Source organism: Homo sapiens, chromosome 11 (assembly GCF_000001405.40).
Source record: "Homo sapiens chromosome 11, GRCh38.p14 Primary Assembly".
Taxonomy (NCBI): Eukaryota; Metazoa; Chordata; class Mammalia; order Primates; family Hominidae; genus Homo; species Homo sapiens.
In genome coordinates, this window is record NC_000011.10 from 3,712,743 (window position 1) to 3,730,098 (window position 17,356).

The 17,356-nt window shown below is 39.2% G+C and overlaps 1 protein-coding gene and 1 pseudogene across 12 annotated transcripts in view; both read right to left on the minus strand.

Moving 5' to 3' along the window:
* NUP98 (nucleoporin 98 and 96 precursor) overlaps positions 1–17,356 on the minus strand; it is a 122,545-nt gene that overhangs the window by 37,733 nt on the left and 67,456 nt on the right. For all 12 annotated transcript variants that reach the window (NR_157591.1, NR_157590.2, NR_157589.2 and 9 more), the window contains 5 exons: positions 12,361–12,477; positions 10,415–10,713; positions 7,970–8,083; positions 6,670–6,808; positions 1,076–1,253 (listed from right to left, as the gene is read on the minus strand). Coding sequence is in view for 9 of the 12 variants with exons in the window: in NM_001365128.2 (NP_001352057.1) it covers positions 1,076–1,253; positions 6,670–6,808; positions 7,970–8,083; positions 10,415–10,713; positions 12,361–12,477 (847 nt within the window). In the remaining 3 variants the exon portion in view is untranslated. The remainder of the gene's footprint in view (positions 1–1,075; positions 1,254–6,669; positions 6,809–7,969; positions 8,084–10,414; positions 10,714–12,360; positions 12,478–17,356) is intronic.
* On the minus strand, positions 2,030–2,133 carry RNU6-1143P (RNA, U6 small nuclear 1143, pseudogene; annotated as a pseudogene).

Here is a 17,356-nt window from a genome sequence, read left to right on the forward strand (position 1 = left end):
AACCCCACAAAACAACTTAAACATTATGCTTTCCCAATACCTGCCTTTGCAATCTTGCAGCATTACCTTAAGAAAAAAGAAAGAAAAGGGGAGAAATATCTAAGTATTTAAAGCAAAATATATCACCTATCACACTTTTATCTAAGATTTAGAAGACGTTTGATGTATGCTCTAGTTGCTCATACTAGTAAATTAATAAAGATTACATAATATACATTAAAATGTCATTTAAACTGTAATCATTAATATAGGAAACTTAATCCAAAGACTTGTTATTATTTTCACAGACATATATTGCCTGTTATCCTCTATCTACCCAAGGGCCTTTAACAAGTTAAATAATTCAACCAGCCTAGAATGGGAGGAAATCATTGGATTAAACTATTACGGACAGTCAACCTCTTCATCTCCAAAAATCTTTAAAAGTAAGAATGACAATTACATAGGAAGAGTTGATCCAATAGACACCTGCCTGATGAATTACTGAAGTCCCTAATGATGACAAACATTAGAAAAACTACACCTTAGAAATGTATTTATAAATCCTCATAGGAGTTGGGTAGAGGACTTGAATCACGAGCCCACAGTTTGTAAGAACTCATTACTGCTGAATTTTAACTAGGTTTGTAGTTTGGAGTGAATCATAATGTATCTGTACATCTCTCTCCAAATTTCTAAAAATAAAGAGAATTTGGCTGGGTATAGTGGCTTACACCTGTAATCACAGTACTTTTGGGAGGCCAAGGAGGGAAGACTGCTTGATCCCAGGAGTTGGAGACCAGCCTGGTCAACACTGAGAAACTCGATCTTTACAAACATTTTAAAAAGTAGCCAGGCATGGTAGTGCATGCCTATAATCCCAGCTACTTGGGAGGCGGAGGCAGAAGGATTGCTTGAGCCCAGGAATTTGAGGCTGCAGGGAGCTATGATCCCACCATTGTACTCCAGCCTGAGCAACAGAGCAAGAACCCCATCAATCAATCAATAGAATTTAGCAAAGGATCCCTTCCAACATAAACGTTATGTGACTCCAAATATAGTTTATAAAAGTCTGAACTGGGTTAAATGACTATACCTTAAACACCCAAGAACCAGTTTCAGGCCGGTATTCTTTGAATTGAGCTCCCTGTTTCCTTGAAACTGCTTCCAATCTTCCTTCATAGTTGATATCAGCAAGGCGATCTGGGCTCTTTATTAAACAACGAGATGTTTTATCTGTTGGCCAAACTCCATCCAATGTAACTTCAGCCTTCCTGTAAAACATAACCAATTAAAGTAACCAATTAAAGTAAAAGCGCTTCATATATAAGACCAGAAAGCCACCTAACACATAAATAGTGAATAATGGTAACTATGCTGCCTTGGAATTATTCTGCATGTGTCATAAACTTGAGTTTTGCCCCATAAGCTTAAGAGCAAGGAGTCACTCCTACATTGACAACTCAATATCTGGTTCTAGAGTCAGACTGCATTTATTTAAATTACCATGGTACATCAATTATTTCCAATCTCATTTTCACACTTAAGCTAGGAATCACTAACTTATTTAAGTTACAGTCCAGTGGTACGAACCAAGTCTTATGCAGGTCTTAAAGGGCTACCGTACTAAATAATAATAAAAAACAGCTACTACCCATTTACTAAAAACAAATGCTTAGAAAATGAAGTATCAGGAATATCGGTATGAAGATGACTACAAGAGTGGTGGTGTACCACTTCTAATATTAATACCAGAGTTCAAGTGTTGTATCCTATTCATTTTGTATGCCTTACATCTAAACACAGTGACTACTAGGATGTAATAGGTAGATGCTGCTCTCCATTTCCTGCTTCCCGGAGCCCCTGGCAAATACTACTCTACTTTGTTTCTATAAAGTTGACTTATCCCAGATACATCACAATATAGTACTTGTCTTTTTGTGACTGGCTTACTTCACTTAGCATGTCCTCAAGGTTCATCCATGTTATAGCATATATCAGAATTTTCTTCCTGAGGCTGAATAACATATATTTTTTAATTTTTAAAATAAAAAATATGGAATGCTTCATGTATTTGTGTGTTATCCTTGTGAGGGACCATGCTAATCTTCTCTGTAGGCTGAATAGTGTTTTATTGCATGTATATACCACATTTTGTGTACCCATTCACTTATCAATGAACATTTGGGTGACTTTTACCTACTGGCTGTTGTGAATAGTGTTGCTATGAACATGGGTATACAAATGCTTGAGATCCTGCTTTCAATTTTGTATATATACCCAGAAGTGGAGCTGCTGGATCAGACAGTAATTCTATTTTTAACTCTTCCGGGAACCACCATACTGTCTTCCACAGTGGCTGCACTGTTACACATTCCCACCAATGGTGCACAAAGGTTCCAATTTCTCCACATTGGCAGACACATGGCAATTTGTTTCTTATTAGACTGAGTCTCGCTCTGTCACCCAGGCTGGAGTGCAGTGGCACATTCTTAGCTCACTTCACCCTCTGCCTACCGGGTTCAAGTGAGTCTCGAACCTCAGCCTCCCAAGTAGCTGAGAGTACAGGTGCCCGCCACAACACCCAGCTAATTTTTGTACTTTTAGTAGAGACGGGGTTTTGCCATGTTGGTCAGACTGGGCTCAAGCTATCCACCTGCCTCGGCCTCCCAAAGTGTTGGGATTATAGGCGTGAGCCACCACGCCCGGCCATTTTTTTTTTTTCTAGTAACCATCCTAATGGGTATGGTATCTCATTGTAGTTTGATTTGCATTTCTCTAATGATTAGTGATGTTGGGCATCTTTTCATGTACTCCTTGGTCATTTGTATATCTTTGGAGAAATGTCGATTCAAGTCCTTTGCCAATATTTTCTTCTTTTTTGAGAGACAGGGTCTCCCTCTCCCGCTCAGGCAGGAGAGAAGTGGCATGATCACAGCTCACTGTAACCTCTGTTCGAGACCAACCTGGCCAACATGGTGAAACTCCTGAGTTCAGCTGAACCTCCTGCCTCAGCCTCCTGAGCAGCTAGGACTACAGGTGTGTGCAACCATGCTTGACTACTTAAAATTTTTTTTTGTAGATACAGGGTCTTCCTATTTTCTTGAACTCCTGGCCTCAAGCAATCCTCACTTCTCTGCCTCCCAAAGTGCTGGGATTACAGGCATAAGCCACTGCACCCATCTTCTTTGCTCATTTTTTAAATGGGTTATTATTTTTGTTGTTGCTGTTGAATTGCAGGATTCTTTATATTCTGGCTATGAACCCCTTATCAAATATGATTGGCATATATTTTCTCCTATTCTTATAGGTTGCCTTTTCACTTGTCTTTTGCTGTGCAGAAGGTTTTCAGTTTGATATAGTGTCATTTGTCTATTTTTGCTTTTGGTGCTTATACTTTTTGATGTTATATCTGAGAAATCATTGCCAAAACCAATGTTATGAAGCTTTTCCTCTGTGTTTTCTTCTAAGAGTTGTAAATTTTTGGATCTCACACTTAGGTATTTTATCCATTTTGGGTTAATCTTTGTATATGGCATAACTTCACTCTTTTGTATGTGGATATCCAGTTTGCCAGCATCCTTTGTTGAAGAGACTGTCTTCTCCCGATCAAATAATTTTTTTTTTTTTTAGTTTTTTTTATGTGTGCTCCACACCACCCTGCCCCCGAGTAATTTTTATACCTTACTGAAAATCATTTAAGACTGGGCGTGGTGGTTTACACCTATAATCCCAACACTTTGGGAGGCCAAGGCAGGCCAAACACTTCACCTCAGGAGTTTGAGACCGGCTGGGCAGGCAACAAGGCAAAACCTCATCTCTACAAAAAATACAAAAATTAGCCGGGCGTGGTGGTGCATCTCTGTGGTCCCAGCTATTTAGGAGGCTGAGGCAGGAGAATAGCTTGAACCTGGGGGCAGAGGTTGCAGAGAGTCATGATCACACCACTACACTCAAGCCTGGGTGACACAGCAAGACCCTATCTCAAAAATCATTCGACTATATAGATGAAGTTTTATTTCTGGGCTCTCTATTACATTCCATTGGTATTTATGTCTGTATGCCACTACCATACTGTTTTGATTATTATAGATTTATAATAAGTTTTGAAATTTGGACATGTGAGACCTCCAAATTGTTCTTTTTTGAGAGTGTTTGGCTATTTGGAGATTTCTGAAATTCTATATGGATTTTTCTATTTCTACAAATCATGCCGCTGGGATTTTGATAGGGACTGCATTAAATTTATGCTTCACTGTAGGCAGTACTGACATTTTAACAATATTAAGTTTTTTTCTTTGACACGTGGTCTCGCTTTGTCACACAGGCTGGAGTGCAGTGGTGTAATCTGCAACCTCCGCCTCCCAGGTTCAAGCCATTCTCTAGCCTCAGCCTCCGGAGTAGCTGGGATTACAGGTATGCGCCACCACGTCTGGCGAATTTTTGTATTTTTAGTAGAGGTGGGGTTTCACCATGTTGGCCAGGCTCACTTGTCTCAACTCCTGACCTCAAGTGATCTGCCCGCCTAGGCCTCCCGAAGTGCTGGGATTACAGGCACGAGCCACTGCACCTAGCTGAACAATATGAAGTTTTCTAACTCATGAGTATGGTCTGTCTTCCATTTATCTGTGTCTGGTGTACTTTCTTTCAACCATGTTTTGCAGTTTTGTATAAACAAGTCATTTACCTCCCTGGTTAAGTTTATTTGTGTATATTTTATTCTTTTTGATGCTACTATATATATGAAATGTTTTCTTAATTTTTGTTGTTAGTGTATAGCAGTGCAACTGATTTTTCCATGTTGATTCTGTATCCTGTAACTTTGTTGAATTTGTTTATAACTAGTAAGTTTTTTTGTGTGGCATCTTTAGGGATTTCTACACAAGATGTCATCAAAGAACAGAGATAATTTTACTACTTTTCAAAACTGTATTAACTTTTATTTTTCTTGCCTAATTGCTCTGACCAGGACTTGCAGTAGTATATTTGGGAAAAGTGGCAAAAGCAGGCATCCTTGTGTTGCCTTGTCTCACAGGAAAAGCCTTCTGTATTTGAGTGCCTTTATTATGAAAGAGTGTTGGATTTTGGTAAATACTTTTTCTGTATTATGATGATGATGATGATGTGGTATATTCCTTTATCTTGTTAAAGTGGTATGTTTCACTGACTTTTGTATGTTAAGCCATCCATGCATTCCAGAATAAATCTTTTGGCCATGATGTGTAATCCTTTCAATACGCTGTTAAATTCTGCTTCCTAGGGCTCTGTTGATGACTTTTTCATCAATATACTCATCAAGTGGTCTGTAGTTTTCTTTCCTTGCAGTGTCTTTGGTTACTGAATAAGGTAACGCTTGCCTCATAGAATGAGTGTGAAAGTATTCCCTTCTCTTCAATTTTTTGGAAGAGTCTGAGTAGGACTGGTGTTATTTCTTTAAACGCTTAGTAGAATTCACCAATGAGGCCATCTGATTCTAGGTTTTTCTTTTTTGACAAGTTTGTGATTACTGAGTCAATCTCTTTACTAATTATTGGCCCGGCACAGTGGCTCATGCTTGTAATCCCAGCACTTTGGGAGGGCGAAGTGGGCAGATCACCTGAGGTCAGGAGTTCAAGACCAGCCTGGTCAACATGGCAAAACCCTGTCTCTACTAAAAATACAAAAATTAGCTGAGCATGGTGGCGGGCACCTATAATCCCAGCTACTCTGGAGGCTGAGGCAGGAGAATCGCTTGAACCCAGGGGGCAGAGGTTGCAGTAAGCTGAGACTATACCACTGCACTCCAGCTTGGGCAAAGGAGTGAAACTCTGTCTCAAAAGAAGAAAGAAAGAAAAGAAAGAAAGAAGAGAAAGGGAAAAGAAAAGAAGCGGAAGGGGAAAGGAAAGGAAAGGATCGATTGATCTGCTCAGATTTTCTATTTCTTCCTGATTCAGGGTTGGTAGGTTATGAAGATAAATAATTTTCACTACAGCCCTTTCACTTGACTAAGATATTAGAAGCTAGGATCTCACACTAAAATAGAGAGTTAAGTATAGCCACAGCAGAAACAGGAATAAAGCAAAATACTATTAAAAAGAGTTTTTGAAATTAGCAGTTGGACCCAATAAAATCAGGGAGGCTGGGCAGCGTGGCTCACACCTGTAATCCCAGCACTTTGGGAGGCTGAGGTGGGAGGATCACTTGAAATCAGGAGCTCAAGACCAGCCTGGCCAACATGGTGAAACTCTGTCTCTACTAAAAATACAAAAATTAGCCAGGCATGGTGGCGGGCGCCTACAATCCCAGCTACTTGGGAGGCTGAGGCAGGAGAATCGCTTGAACCCGGGAGTCGGAGGTTGCAGTGAACTGACATCATTCCACTGCGCTCCAGCCTGGGCAACAAGAGCAAAACTCCATCTCAAAAAAAAAAAATAATAATAGTAAAATGAAATGAAATGAAATAAAATAGAATAGAATCGAATCCAAGGAATGTAAAAAAATGAATTAAAAAATAAAATCAGGGAAAAGGAGTTCAAAATCACAGTATAGCATTTCTTTGCCATTTATACTTTTAAATCAAAGTAGAGACAATAAATGTACTCTATAGTAAGGAAAGCAAGCTACAGAAGCATACATCTAAACACATTTATGTTTACAGAAAAAAAAATTGTGATTTAGCTGATAATTTTCTGTATGTACATAAACTCTTACCTATTTAGCCCTTCACCCACAGGTGGTTTTTGGTTATCATCTAAGTAGACAACTACTTCTTTCCTCCGGATATGCACAATATCATCCAAATTTAGATTTGTCAAATTCACATCTCCTTCAAAATAGATTGAACCATAACCTATAAATCAGAGCAAATAGTTAAAAATTCATTCTGTATGAAGGCAAATACCTACTTTACAACTATAGTGATTAAACAATCACAAGGAGAAAGCAGTTTTAAGTATTAGTATTTTAAATAATTCAGCAATTCCTAGACTGGTAAGAATGGGGACTTAGGGAGAGTAACTTCAATTACACTGTTATCTGATTTAAAATCTGCATTTTTCTTTTCTTTTCTTTTCTTTTTTTTTTTGGCAAGGTCTTGTTCTGTTGACCAGACTGAAGTGCAGTGGTCCTGTCTCACTGCAGCCTGAACCTCCTAAACTGAAACAATCCTCCCACCTCACCCTCCCAAGTAGCTGAGACTACAAGCACATATCATCAGGCCTGGCTCATTTTCTTTACTTTTGGTAAAGGTGAGGTCTCACTATGTTGCCCAGGCTGGTCTAGAACTCCTGAGCTCAAGTGATCCTCTCACCTCAGCCTCCCAAAGCGCTAGAATTACAGGTGTGAGTCACTGCGACAGGCCTAACATCTGCATTTTTATAAAACTCCCATTAGCCTCAAAACAACCTTCTTAAATCTCTTCCCATTTATCTATAATGACGCTATATAAACAAACCTTCGCACTTGGCCTGGCATATGGGTTAAAATGCCTGAGCTCTTTTTAATACAATATAGCACAGTGGCATTTCCCACAAGAAAATTATCAGTAATAATAACATGAAGTTCATGCTAAGTGTTATACATCTCTTGCCTATTATTCAATTTTCTCAGAAGTTCTTGGTATTTCCAGTATTTTCTTTAATTACAGAAAATTAAAATGACCCAAATAGTTACTAGCACCAAACAGGTATACCTAAGCCCAAAGAATATTATATGGTTCTGTGCTTCTCAGGAGGCTGAGGCAGGAGAAATGCTTGACCCCAGGAGTTGAGATCTGCCAGGCAATGTAGCAAGACCCCATCTCAACAGAAAAAATAAAATAAATAAAAATAAAAAAATTTACATGGTTCCAGTCTTTCTTGTTTTGTTACTTATCAATCAAAGTATTTAAGATTCAGGCCAAGGTGGGCCCAAATGTAGGAAAATGAAGATTCAGCTATCAAAAGCTTCCCCTAATTACAAAAATAAGGTGCAACTCTCTGGCTTAATCACTAAGTGCTAAACTCACACTTACCTTTCCGACCAATAGTGAAATCAGAGACAATGCACTCTCCTTTTTCATTGGTAATTTTAGCAAGGTCATCCATAGATGGAATAGTATAGTAACCAACCTTAGTGAGAATAATACCTGTGACAAAAAAAAAAAAAAAAACAGAAAAAAAAATAACCTGAAATAATCAGCAACTAAATCATCATATAAAGAGAAAATATATCAGAATGAAGAATTTTCCAAACTACTTTTCTACCAAACATGATTCCTAGGAGAAGGGGTGTGTGAGTGTGTGTGTGTGTGTGTGTGTGTGTGTGTGTGAAAAGCTTCATGGTCAAATAGGTTTGAAGAACATACATATGATACATCAAAGAGTCTAAAACTTACAGTAAATAGCCTATTAAACTCTGCTTAACCTCGTGTTTTTCCAGATTTAACCACAGAACATTATTTTCAAAGGACACCCATTAACATCCCGGACTATAAAAGGTATCTCATAAAATACTCTGAGAAAAGCTTAATCAGCTTTTTATTTTATTTTACACACAAGGATACCAAAACCTACAGTGGAAATAACTTGTGTTGGCTTATACTGTAATTTAACAATAGAAGTAGATATAAAACTCCAAACCCAATTCTTCTTGTTTCATTGCCTGTTTTGCATAAACCTCTTTTATTTTTCAAATTTACACTCCCAAATAAAGAGCTAAAAGAAAGATGAAAAATCCAGCCAGGCAAGGTGGCTCATGCCTGTAATCCAAGGACTTTGGGAGGCCGGGGTGAGTAAATCACTTGAGGCCAGGAGTCCAAGACAAGCCTGGCTAACATGGCAAAAATCCATTATCTACCAAAAATACAAAAATTAGCTGGGCATGGTGGCGGGTGCTTGTAATCCCAGCTACTCGGGAGGTTGAGGAAGGAGAATCGCTTGAACCTGGGAGGCAGAGGATGCAGTGAGCTGAGATCACACCACTGCACTCCAGCCTGGGCAACCAAGAGTGAAACTCGGAAGGAAGGGAGGGAGGGAGGAAGGAAGAAAAGAAGAAAGAAAGAATAAATTAAAATAGAAAAAAAAATACCAAAATAAAAAAAGCAGAGCGCTGAAAAACTCAAGGAAAGTAGTGGAACGCTGGTGTGCTTGCTTGCTCTATTCACTCCTTGTCCTACTTGTAGTCAGATATAAGGCTAACTTGCTCTCTGAGAGAAAAGTATTTCAGGCCAACATCAGACCAAACTCCAGCCTCCAGCAACACCCACTTGTATACTTGCTTCTTGGGAAGGGAACTCTAAATTGGGTGGCAGCAAACAAGGTAAATGAAAAAACTAGAATATAAAACTTCCTATTAAAAAGATATATAGTAGCATAATAAATTCATGTAGAGATACATACACAAATACAGATTAAGCACCTGGAATTCTTTTTTTTTTTTTTTTTTTTTTTAGGAGACAGGATCTTGGTCTGTCAACCCAGGCTGGAGTTCAGTGGCATAATCATAGCTCACTGCAACCTTGAATCCTGGGTTCAAGTGATCCTCCCACCTCAGCTTCCGTAGTAGCTGCAACTACAGGTACATGCCACCACACCTGGCTAATTACTTTTAAGTTTATTGTAGATATCAGGTCTTGCTATGTTGCCCAGACTGATTTCAAACTTCTGGGTTCAAACGATCCTCCCACCTAAGCCTGCCAAAGTGCTGAGCCACCACACCCAGGCTACCTGGGATTCTTACTGTCAAAGTATAAACTTCTTTCCTTATGATACTAAGTAACCAAATATATATATATATATAATGGCAATAAGAAAACTAAATATAAATTTTGGAGACACTTCAAGAATACCACAAAACACCCAAAATGGGCTGGGCATGGTGGCTCATGCCTGTAATCCTAGCACTTTGGGAGGCCAAGATAGGAGGATCACTTGAGCCCAGGATTTTGAGACCAGCCCAGGAAACATGGCAAAACAAAAGATGCAAAACTTAACGGGGTGTGGTATCATGTGCCTGTAGTGCCAGCTACTCGGGTGGCTGAGATGAGAGGTCCTGATCCCTGGAGGTTGAGGTTGCAGTGAGCCAAGACTGCGACACTGCACTCCAGCCTGGGCGACAGAGCGACACTGTCTCAAGAAAAAACAAACAAACAAACAAAAAACAATAAGCAATCTATCCGAGTTTACAAAGCCAGGGAAAATATCAGGATAGTCTCTTTGGCTATAAAATTTGGGTTCTTTAGACTACACCAGGATAATTAAAGATGTATCAATTTTCATACTCTAAGGTCCAAAGAGTATGTGAACTCTGAATCAACTAAAGCATAAAACTGTTTAAATATTAAGCTCTCCTATGTGGGATCACATAAAATAATACTTAAAATGCCAAACAGCTGACTTCCATATGTTGAATATCTGCAACAAGCAAGTCATCTCGAATGACTGGTAAGAGATTAAACATGCACCAATCTGAACCTGACCTGCTGGGTGCATATGGTAAGAATTATTTTCTATTTCTTCTCGGTCATCCTGAAGTGACTCATCATGAAAAGACGTTTCTTCACTGCTTCCTTCCAGCCCATTTCGCAAAGCAGCACGCATGTTTAATGCAACAATGGTATCATCCACACTGTTGCTGTTGCTGTGTTTATTTCCAGCACTTTCTGGGGTTTGAGGAATAGGTTTGGCAATAGGGTTAGTATAAAAATGTGAAACAAGGGAATCTTCATCTCCATCCTGCTGGTGATTCTCATCAACAGGTTTGCTTAGGAAACTAAATCTGCAAAGGAAAAGAAATAATACCTTAGCCTCTTGTAGTAGTAATAACAATGATAATAGCTAACTAATACCGAGCCTTTACTAAGTGCCTGGCACTGTTCTGGATAGTTCCATGTATTAAAAATTCACTTAATACTTACTACAGCAGTACTGTGAAACAGATAATTACTATCTCTATTGTATACTCTCCTATATGGAATCAAATAATTGGTTAATTTTAAGATTAAAAACTGAAAAAAATGTTAGATTTTTAAGATTACAATCAACAAAATGTTAAAAAATGCTTTATAAATAATAATAATAATAAAAAACACTAGAATTTTATCCAAAAGAAAAAAAAAACAGGAGTACAAAGGTGTCTATACAAAGGGTTTCTTTTTTTTTTTTTCTTTTTCGTGATACAGCCCTCAGGAGGCCCTGAGAACTTGTGCCAGTATATAAGGATTTTTACTGAAGCACTGTTTTGAGTACAGGAATACCGGATAATCTAAATGTCCACTAACAAGGAACTGGTCAAGTTATCTTACATTCACAATAATGACTTATGCAATCATTAAAAAAGAAAAGACAAATATATTCATACAGATAATGGAAAGGCATTTCTAATAAAATAAATGGAAATAAGCAGGTTACAGAATATATCATTCGTGCATAATCTTTATATAATAAAATATATTTATAAAGAAAGAAATTTCGGCTGGGTGTGGTGGATAACGCTTGTAATCCCAGCACTTTGTGAGGCCGAGGCGGGTGGATCGCTTGAGGTCAGGAGTTCAAGACCAGCTTGACCAACATGGCGAAACCCTGTTTCTACTAAAAATACAAAAAAAATTAGCTGGGCGTGGAGGTGCATGCCTGTAATCCCAGCTACTCAGGAGGCTGAGGCAGGAGAATTGCTTGAACAATTCACATCAGAGGATACAGTGGGCCGAGATCGTGCCACTGCACTCCAGCCTGGGTAATAAGAGCAAAACTCCATCTCAAAAAAAAAAAATAAATAAATAAATTTCTGATATGAAAGAATATATACCTAACTATTAAGAATCACTGTACAAGGCTGGGCACGGTGGCTCACGCATGTAATACCAACGTTTTAGGAGGCCAAGGCGGGCAGATCACTTGAGGTCAGGAGCTCGAGACCATCCTTGGCTAACAAGGTGAAACGCCGTCTCTACTAAAAATACAAAAATTAATCAGGCATGGTGGCGGGTGCCTGTATTCCCAGCTACATGGGAGGGTGAGGCAGGAGAATCGCTTGAGCATGGGAGGCGATCTTGGCTCATGCCACTGCACTCCAGCCTGGGCGACAGAGTGAGACTCTGTCTCAAAAAAAAAAAAGAAAGAAAATCATCACAGACAAAATATCCCTTAAAGGGCTAAAGGGTGTCAAATACATGCTAACCCTGTCCAAAACAAGATACACAAATACCAAAATAGTTCTGAAGCACTAAATCAGAACTCCAATAATTTTAAGGTTTAATGAATTCAAAAGACAAAAATATGATTTGATTTCTAGGCGCTCATAAGCTTGTAATACTTCTATGTAATATTCATCAAACTTCATAAATTTTCATAAATTCCTAAGAATGTCTTAAAAATGAGACTATAACTCTCTACTAAGAAGAACTCAAAACAGAATTCAGTGTACCTCTCTCCATTTTCTGGATATTCAGATGGTGAAGCTAGATTTTCTGAATCACGATTAACAGGAGAAAAGAGATTGCTATTATTAAGGTTCTTCAAAACCAACTTCTTAATGCTCTTCCTATAAACAAGAAACCAAAAGAAGAAGAAAAAAATTACTCAGGCATACAGATATGTCCCAGACATTATCTTAAAAACTGGAGTCCAATGGTGCACTTCTGCTCAACTCTTGTACACCTAAGAATAACCTAACAAGTTTCATTTATAAACGCTTCCTAGGATTGTATAGCCAAAACACAAGGTGTCAAATACATTGTACTATGGTGTTTGGAAGAATAAAGCTGAACACCTTCAAGTCAAAGTGGAAAATCCCCTTGAAAACTGTCCTCCTCCCAGCTCTGAGCACTTTATCCAGACACTTCGTTCACTCATCACACTATGTTTGTATTTCAATCATCTGTATACTCTCCAAATGCTTTCTCTCTCTTTTGGCAGTACAAACGTATGGCTGTCTCACCATAGAACTCATAGTGCTGTCTTGAATGAAAAAGGTAAACAGACATTTGCTGACTAAAAAGTTTTTTCTTTTTACTTTCTTTGGTTTGCCCAAAGAGAGAGAATTTTTTAAAAACATGACAAGAAAGTATTGAAGTAAAAAATCCTGTTATCAAATAATGCAAATGATCGATCACAAATACCTAAAAAGTTCAGGTTTTTCTCTTTTTTCTTTAGACAGAGTCTCACTGTGTCACCCACGCTGGTGTGTAGTGGTACAATCGCTGATCATGGCTCACTACAGCCTTGACTTACCTCCCAGACTCAGGCTATTCTCCCACCTCAGCTTCCCGAGTAGCTGGGACGATAGGCACCCACCACCATGCCTGGCCACTGTTTTGTTGAAACAAGGTTTCGCCAGGTTGCCCAGGCTGGTCTAACTTAGCCTAATGTAAGAGCACTGTACTCATTCACTACAGAGTACACACTCTTTTCAAGTACACATGGAACATTTATAAACTAACAGTATACTGGGCCATTAAAGGAACTCTCAAATTTCTAAGAATTGCTATTGCTATCGCCTTTTACTTTTCATCTAGAAGTTAATAACAAAAACATAAAAAAAAAGAGTTGAACTAAAAGGAAAATTTACATATTTAAATGCATATATTTGAAAGAAGGAAAGCTGAAAATCAAAGGGGAGAGGAGAAAGGAACAAGATAATAATTAAATATTAATAAGATATAATAAATTAAAAACTGATGAAATAGGAAACAATCACAGGAGCGAGAACATCAATAATGCCATAAGTTAGTTCTTTGAAGTTACCAGTAATACTGGGAGATCCCTGGTCAAACAGAAAAAGAGAAGGCACAATAAAAGTCAATGTTGGGAATGAAAAAGTAGGTGTCCCTATAGACGCCACTGACATTAAAAAAAAAAAAAAAGACAAGGGTATTTTTAAACAACTTTATGCCAATAAATTTGAAATTTTAGTTATTGAAATGAATACATATTACAAAAATATAACATCAAAAGTCACTCAAAATATAAAATAAAAAGCTGAATAATCCTCTAACTCTTAAATACTTTTTCCCCCAAACAGTCTTATAAATACTACTTCAGACCCATCTATCATTACCAGTACCAAACATCTGATGTTACCATCAGATTAGATTACCAACTTTTCTTTCTTTTTTTTTTTTTGAGACAGGCTGGAGTACAGTGGTGGTATCATAGCTCACTGCAACCTTGAATTCCTGGGCTCCTGTGATGCTCCCACCTCAGCCTCCCAAATAGCTGGGACTATCGGCATGTGCCATCATGTCTGGCTAATTAAAAAAAAATTTTTTTTTAGAGACAAGGTCTCATTTTGTTGCCAAGGTTGGTCTCACTGGCCTCTCTAGTGATCCTCCTGCTTTGGTCTCTCAAAGTGCTGAGATTACAGATGTGAGCCATTGTACTCAGTTAGAAATTATTACCTTATACAAACTTTTCTAGAAAATAGAAAGAGGAAATACTCTCCAGTTTGTTCATGAGGTCAGCATAATCTTTATACCCAAACTGGGTAGGGACGCTGTAAGAAAAAAACGTTAGCTGAACACAGTTGTGCACACACACCTATAGTCCCACGTACTTGAGAGGCTGAGCAGGATCACTTAAGGCCAGCCCGGGCAACACAGGAAGACCTCATCTCAAAACAAAAACAAAAACAAAAACAAAAAACCCAGGTGAGGGTGGGGGGCAGTGTGTGGAATTTAATTAATGAACACAGAGGGCAGAACTCCTGAACAAAATTTTACAAAGTTAATCCTACAAGCAAGAAAGTTACCAAGCACTACTGAGGCATGTGGAAAGGACTTATGAGCCAATCTGAAAGGGCTCCTTGCTGCCCAAATATGAGACAATTTGAACATCACAGAAAACAATAACTGCATTGGACTGAAACATAGCAACTGGGGTTGGGGGTAGAAAGAGAGAGTAAATAAAGGTGGCATGGTGGGTTTCGCTGTAATTTCAGCACTTCAGGAGGCCAAGGTGGGGGGATTGCTTGAGCCCAGGAGTTCAAGACAAGCCTGAGTAACACAGTGAAACACCATCTCTACTATAAAGTAGGAACACGACTCTACAGAAAATTTTTTAAATATCAGCCAGGGACAATGGCGTGCACTTATAGTCCCAGCTACTTAGGAAACTGAGGTGGCAGGATCACTTGAAGCTAGGAGTTTGAGACCAGCCTGGGCAACACAGCAAGATCCTGTCTCTACAAAATAAAAAAAATTAGCCAGGTGTGGTGGCACGCACCTGTAGTCCCAGCTACTCGGGAGGCCAAGTCAGAATAATCCCGAGCCCAGGAATTCAAGGGTGCAGTGAGCTATGACAGCGCCACCGCACTCCAGCCTGGGTGACAGAGTAAGACCCCGTCTCAAAAACAAAAAAATAAACCAAAAATAGTGTCGCAAGAGTAGTCTTCATTGATGTGACATGTGAGTACAGAGCGTCAGGGTTAACTATATGGATATATGAGGAGAAGTGTTTCAAAGGGAACAATTGGGGCAAAGGCCCAAATAAATAGCATGCCTATCGTGTCCTAACAGGAGCAAGGAACAGTAAGTTTAGAGTGGAGTAAGCAATGGAGAGAATCGTAGATGTGTTCAGAGCAGTAATGGGAAATCCTACCTTTGAGGACTTTATATGCCAATGTAAGCACTTTGGTCCTTACTCTGAGTAAAAAAATGTGAACTACCTTAGGGTTTTGAGGAGAAAAGGGAAATGATCTGACTTATGCTTCAAAATGACCACTGTGATAGCAATGTTTAGAATCAGATGCAAAAGAGTAAGAGTAAAAACAGAAGAGTGGGGCTGGGTGCGGCGGCTCACGCCTGTAATCCCAGCACTTTGGAAGGCCGAGGCAGGCAGATCTTGAGGTCAGGAGATCAAGACCATCCTGGCTAACACAGTGAAACCCTGTCTCTACTAAAAAAAATACAAAAAAATTAGCTGGGCGTGGTGGTGGGCGCCTGTAGTCCCAGCTACTTGGGAGTCTGAAGCAGGAGAGTGGAGTGAACCCAGGAGGCAGAGCTTGCAGTGAGCCGAGATGGGGCCACTGCACTCCAGCCTGGGCAACACAGCAAGACTCCATCTCAAAATAAATAAATAAATAAAAATAAAAACAATAAGAACTGAAGAGTATATTGTGGTAATTCAGGCAAGAGATAGTGGTGGCTTGCACTAGGGTAATAGCAATGAATGTGGTGAGAACTATACAGATTCTAAGTAATTTACAGGGTAGAACCAAGAGGATTTGCTGATAACTTAGATGAGGAATGTGTGACAAAGTCAAGGAAGATTCCAAAATTTCTGACCGGAGCAACTAGAATGATAGTAATGCAATCATCTGAGACAGGTTTTGGGTAGAACAGGTTTGAGAAAGAAAACATGGACATGTTAATTTTAAATCAATTTCTTTTAGACATCGAAGTGAAGATGTAGAGTAGGGTAAGATACAAGAATCTTTAGTTTGGTAAAGAGGTCTGGGTTGGAGATAAAAATTTGGGAATCATCAGACTACAGATGATATTTAAAGCCATGAGAATAAATTGAAGCACTTTGGAAATAAGCATAGATAAAATGTGATCAACAACTGAGCCAAGGGCATTCTAATTTACAGACGGTGGAATGAAGAGGAACCAGTAAAGGGGACTGAGAAGCAGCAACCAGCAAGGCAGGAAGAAAACTAGGAAATTGTGGGGTCCTGGAAGACAATTATGAAAGTGAATCAAGGAGGAGGGACAAGATCAACTGCGTAAAATGCTTCTGTTACATTAAGACGGTTGATAGGTAGCTGGGCGTGGTAGCTCATGCCTGTAATCCTAACACCTTGGGAGGCTGAGGCTTGAGCCCAGGAGTTCGAGACCACCGTGGGCAACACAGAAAGACCCTGTATCTCCAAAAAAAAAAAAAAAAAAAAAAAAATTACTGGGCATGGTGGTGTGGGCCTGTGGTCTCAGCTACTTGGGAACTGAGGTGGGAGGATCACCTGAGCCCAGGGGTCGAAGGTGCAGTGATGTATGATTGCACCACTGCACTCCAGCCTGGGCAATGGCATAAGACTCTTGCCTCAAAAAAAAAAAAAAAAAAAAAAAAAAGGATGACGTTTGACAGCAACACCACAGAAGTGAGGCCAAGGAGGTCAGATGGTATTAACAACAAAATGTATGTCCTCCCACTCTAATCCTTTCTACTTGTATATTTGAAAATCCTAAGCCCTGGTGAAGCTGATCTCGAGCTACTGACCTGATGACTGGACTACTGTAAACCTTTTTACCTACTCTGCGCAAAAACAGTATATAAAATGCTAGGACAAGGCGGGGCACAGTGGCTCACACCAGTAATCCCAGCACTTTGGGAGTCTGAGGCAGGTGAATTATCTGAGGTCAGCAGTTCAAGACCAGCCTGGCCAACATGGCGAAACCCCATCTCTACACAAAAATTAGCCAGGCATG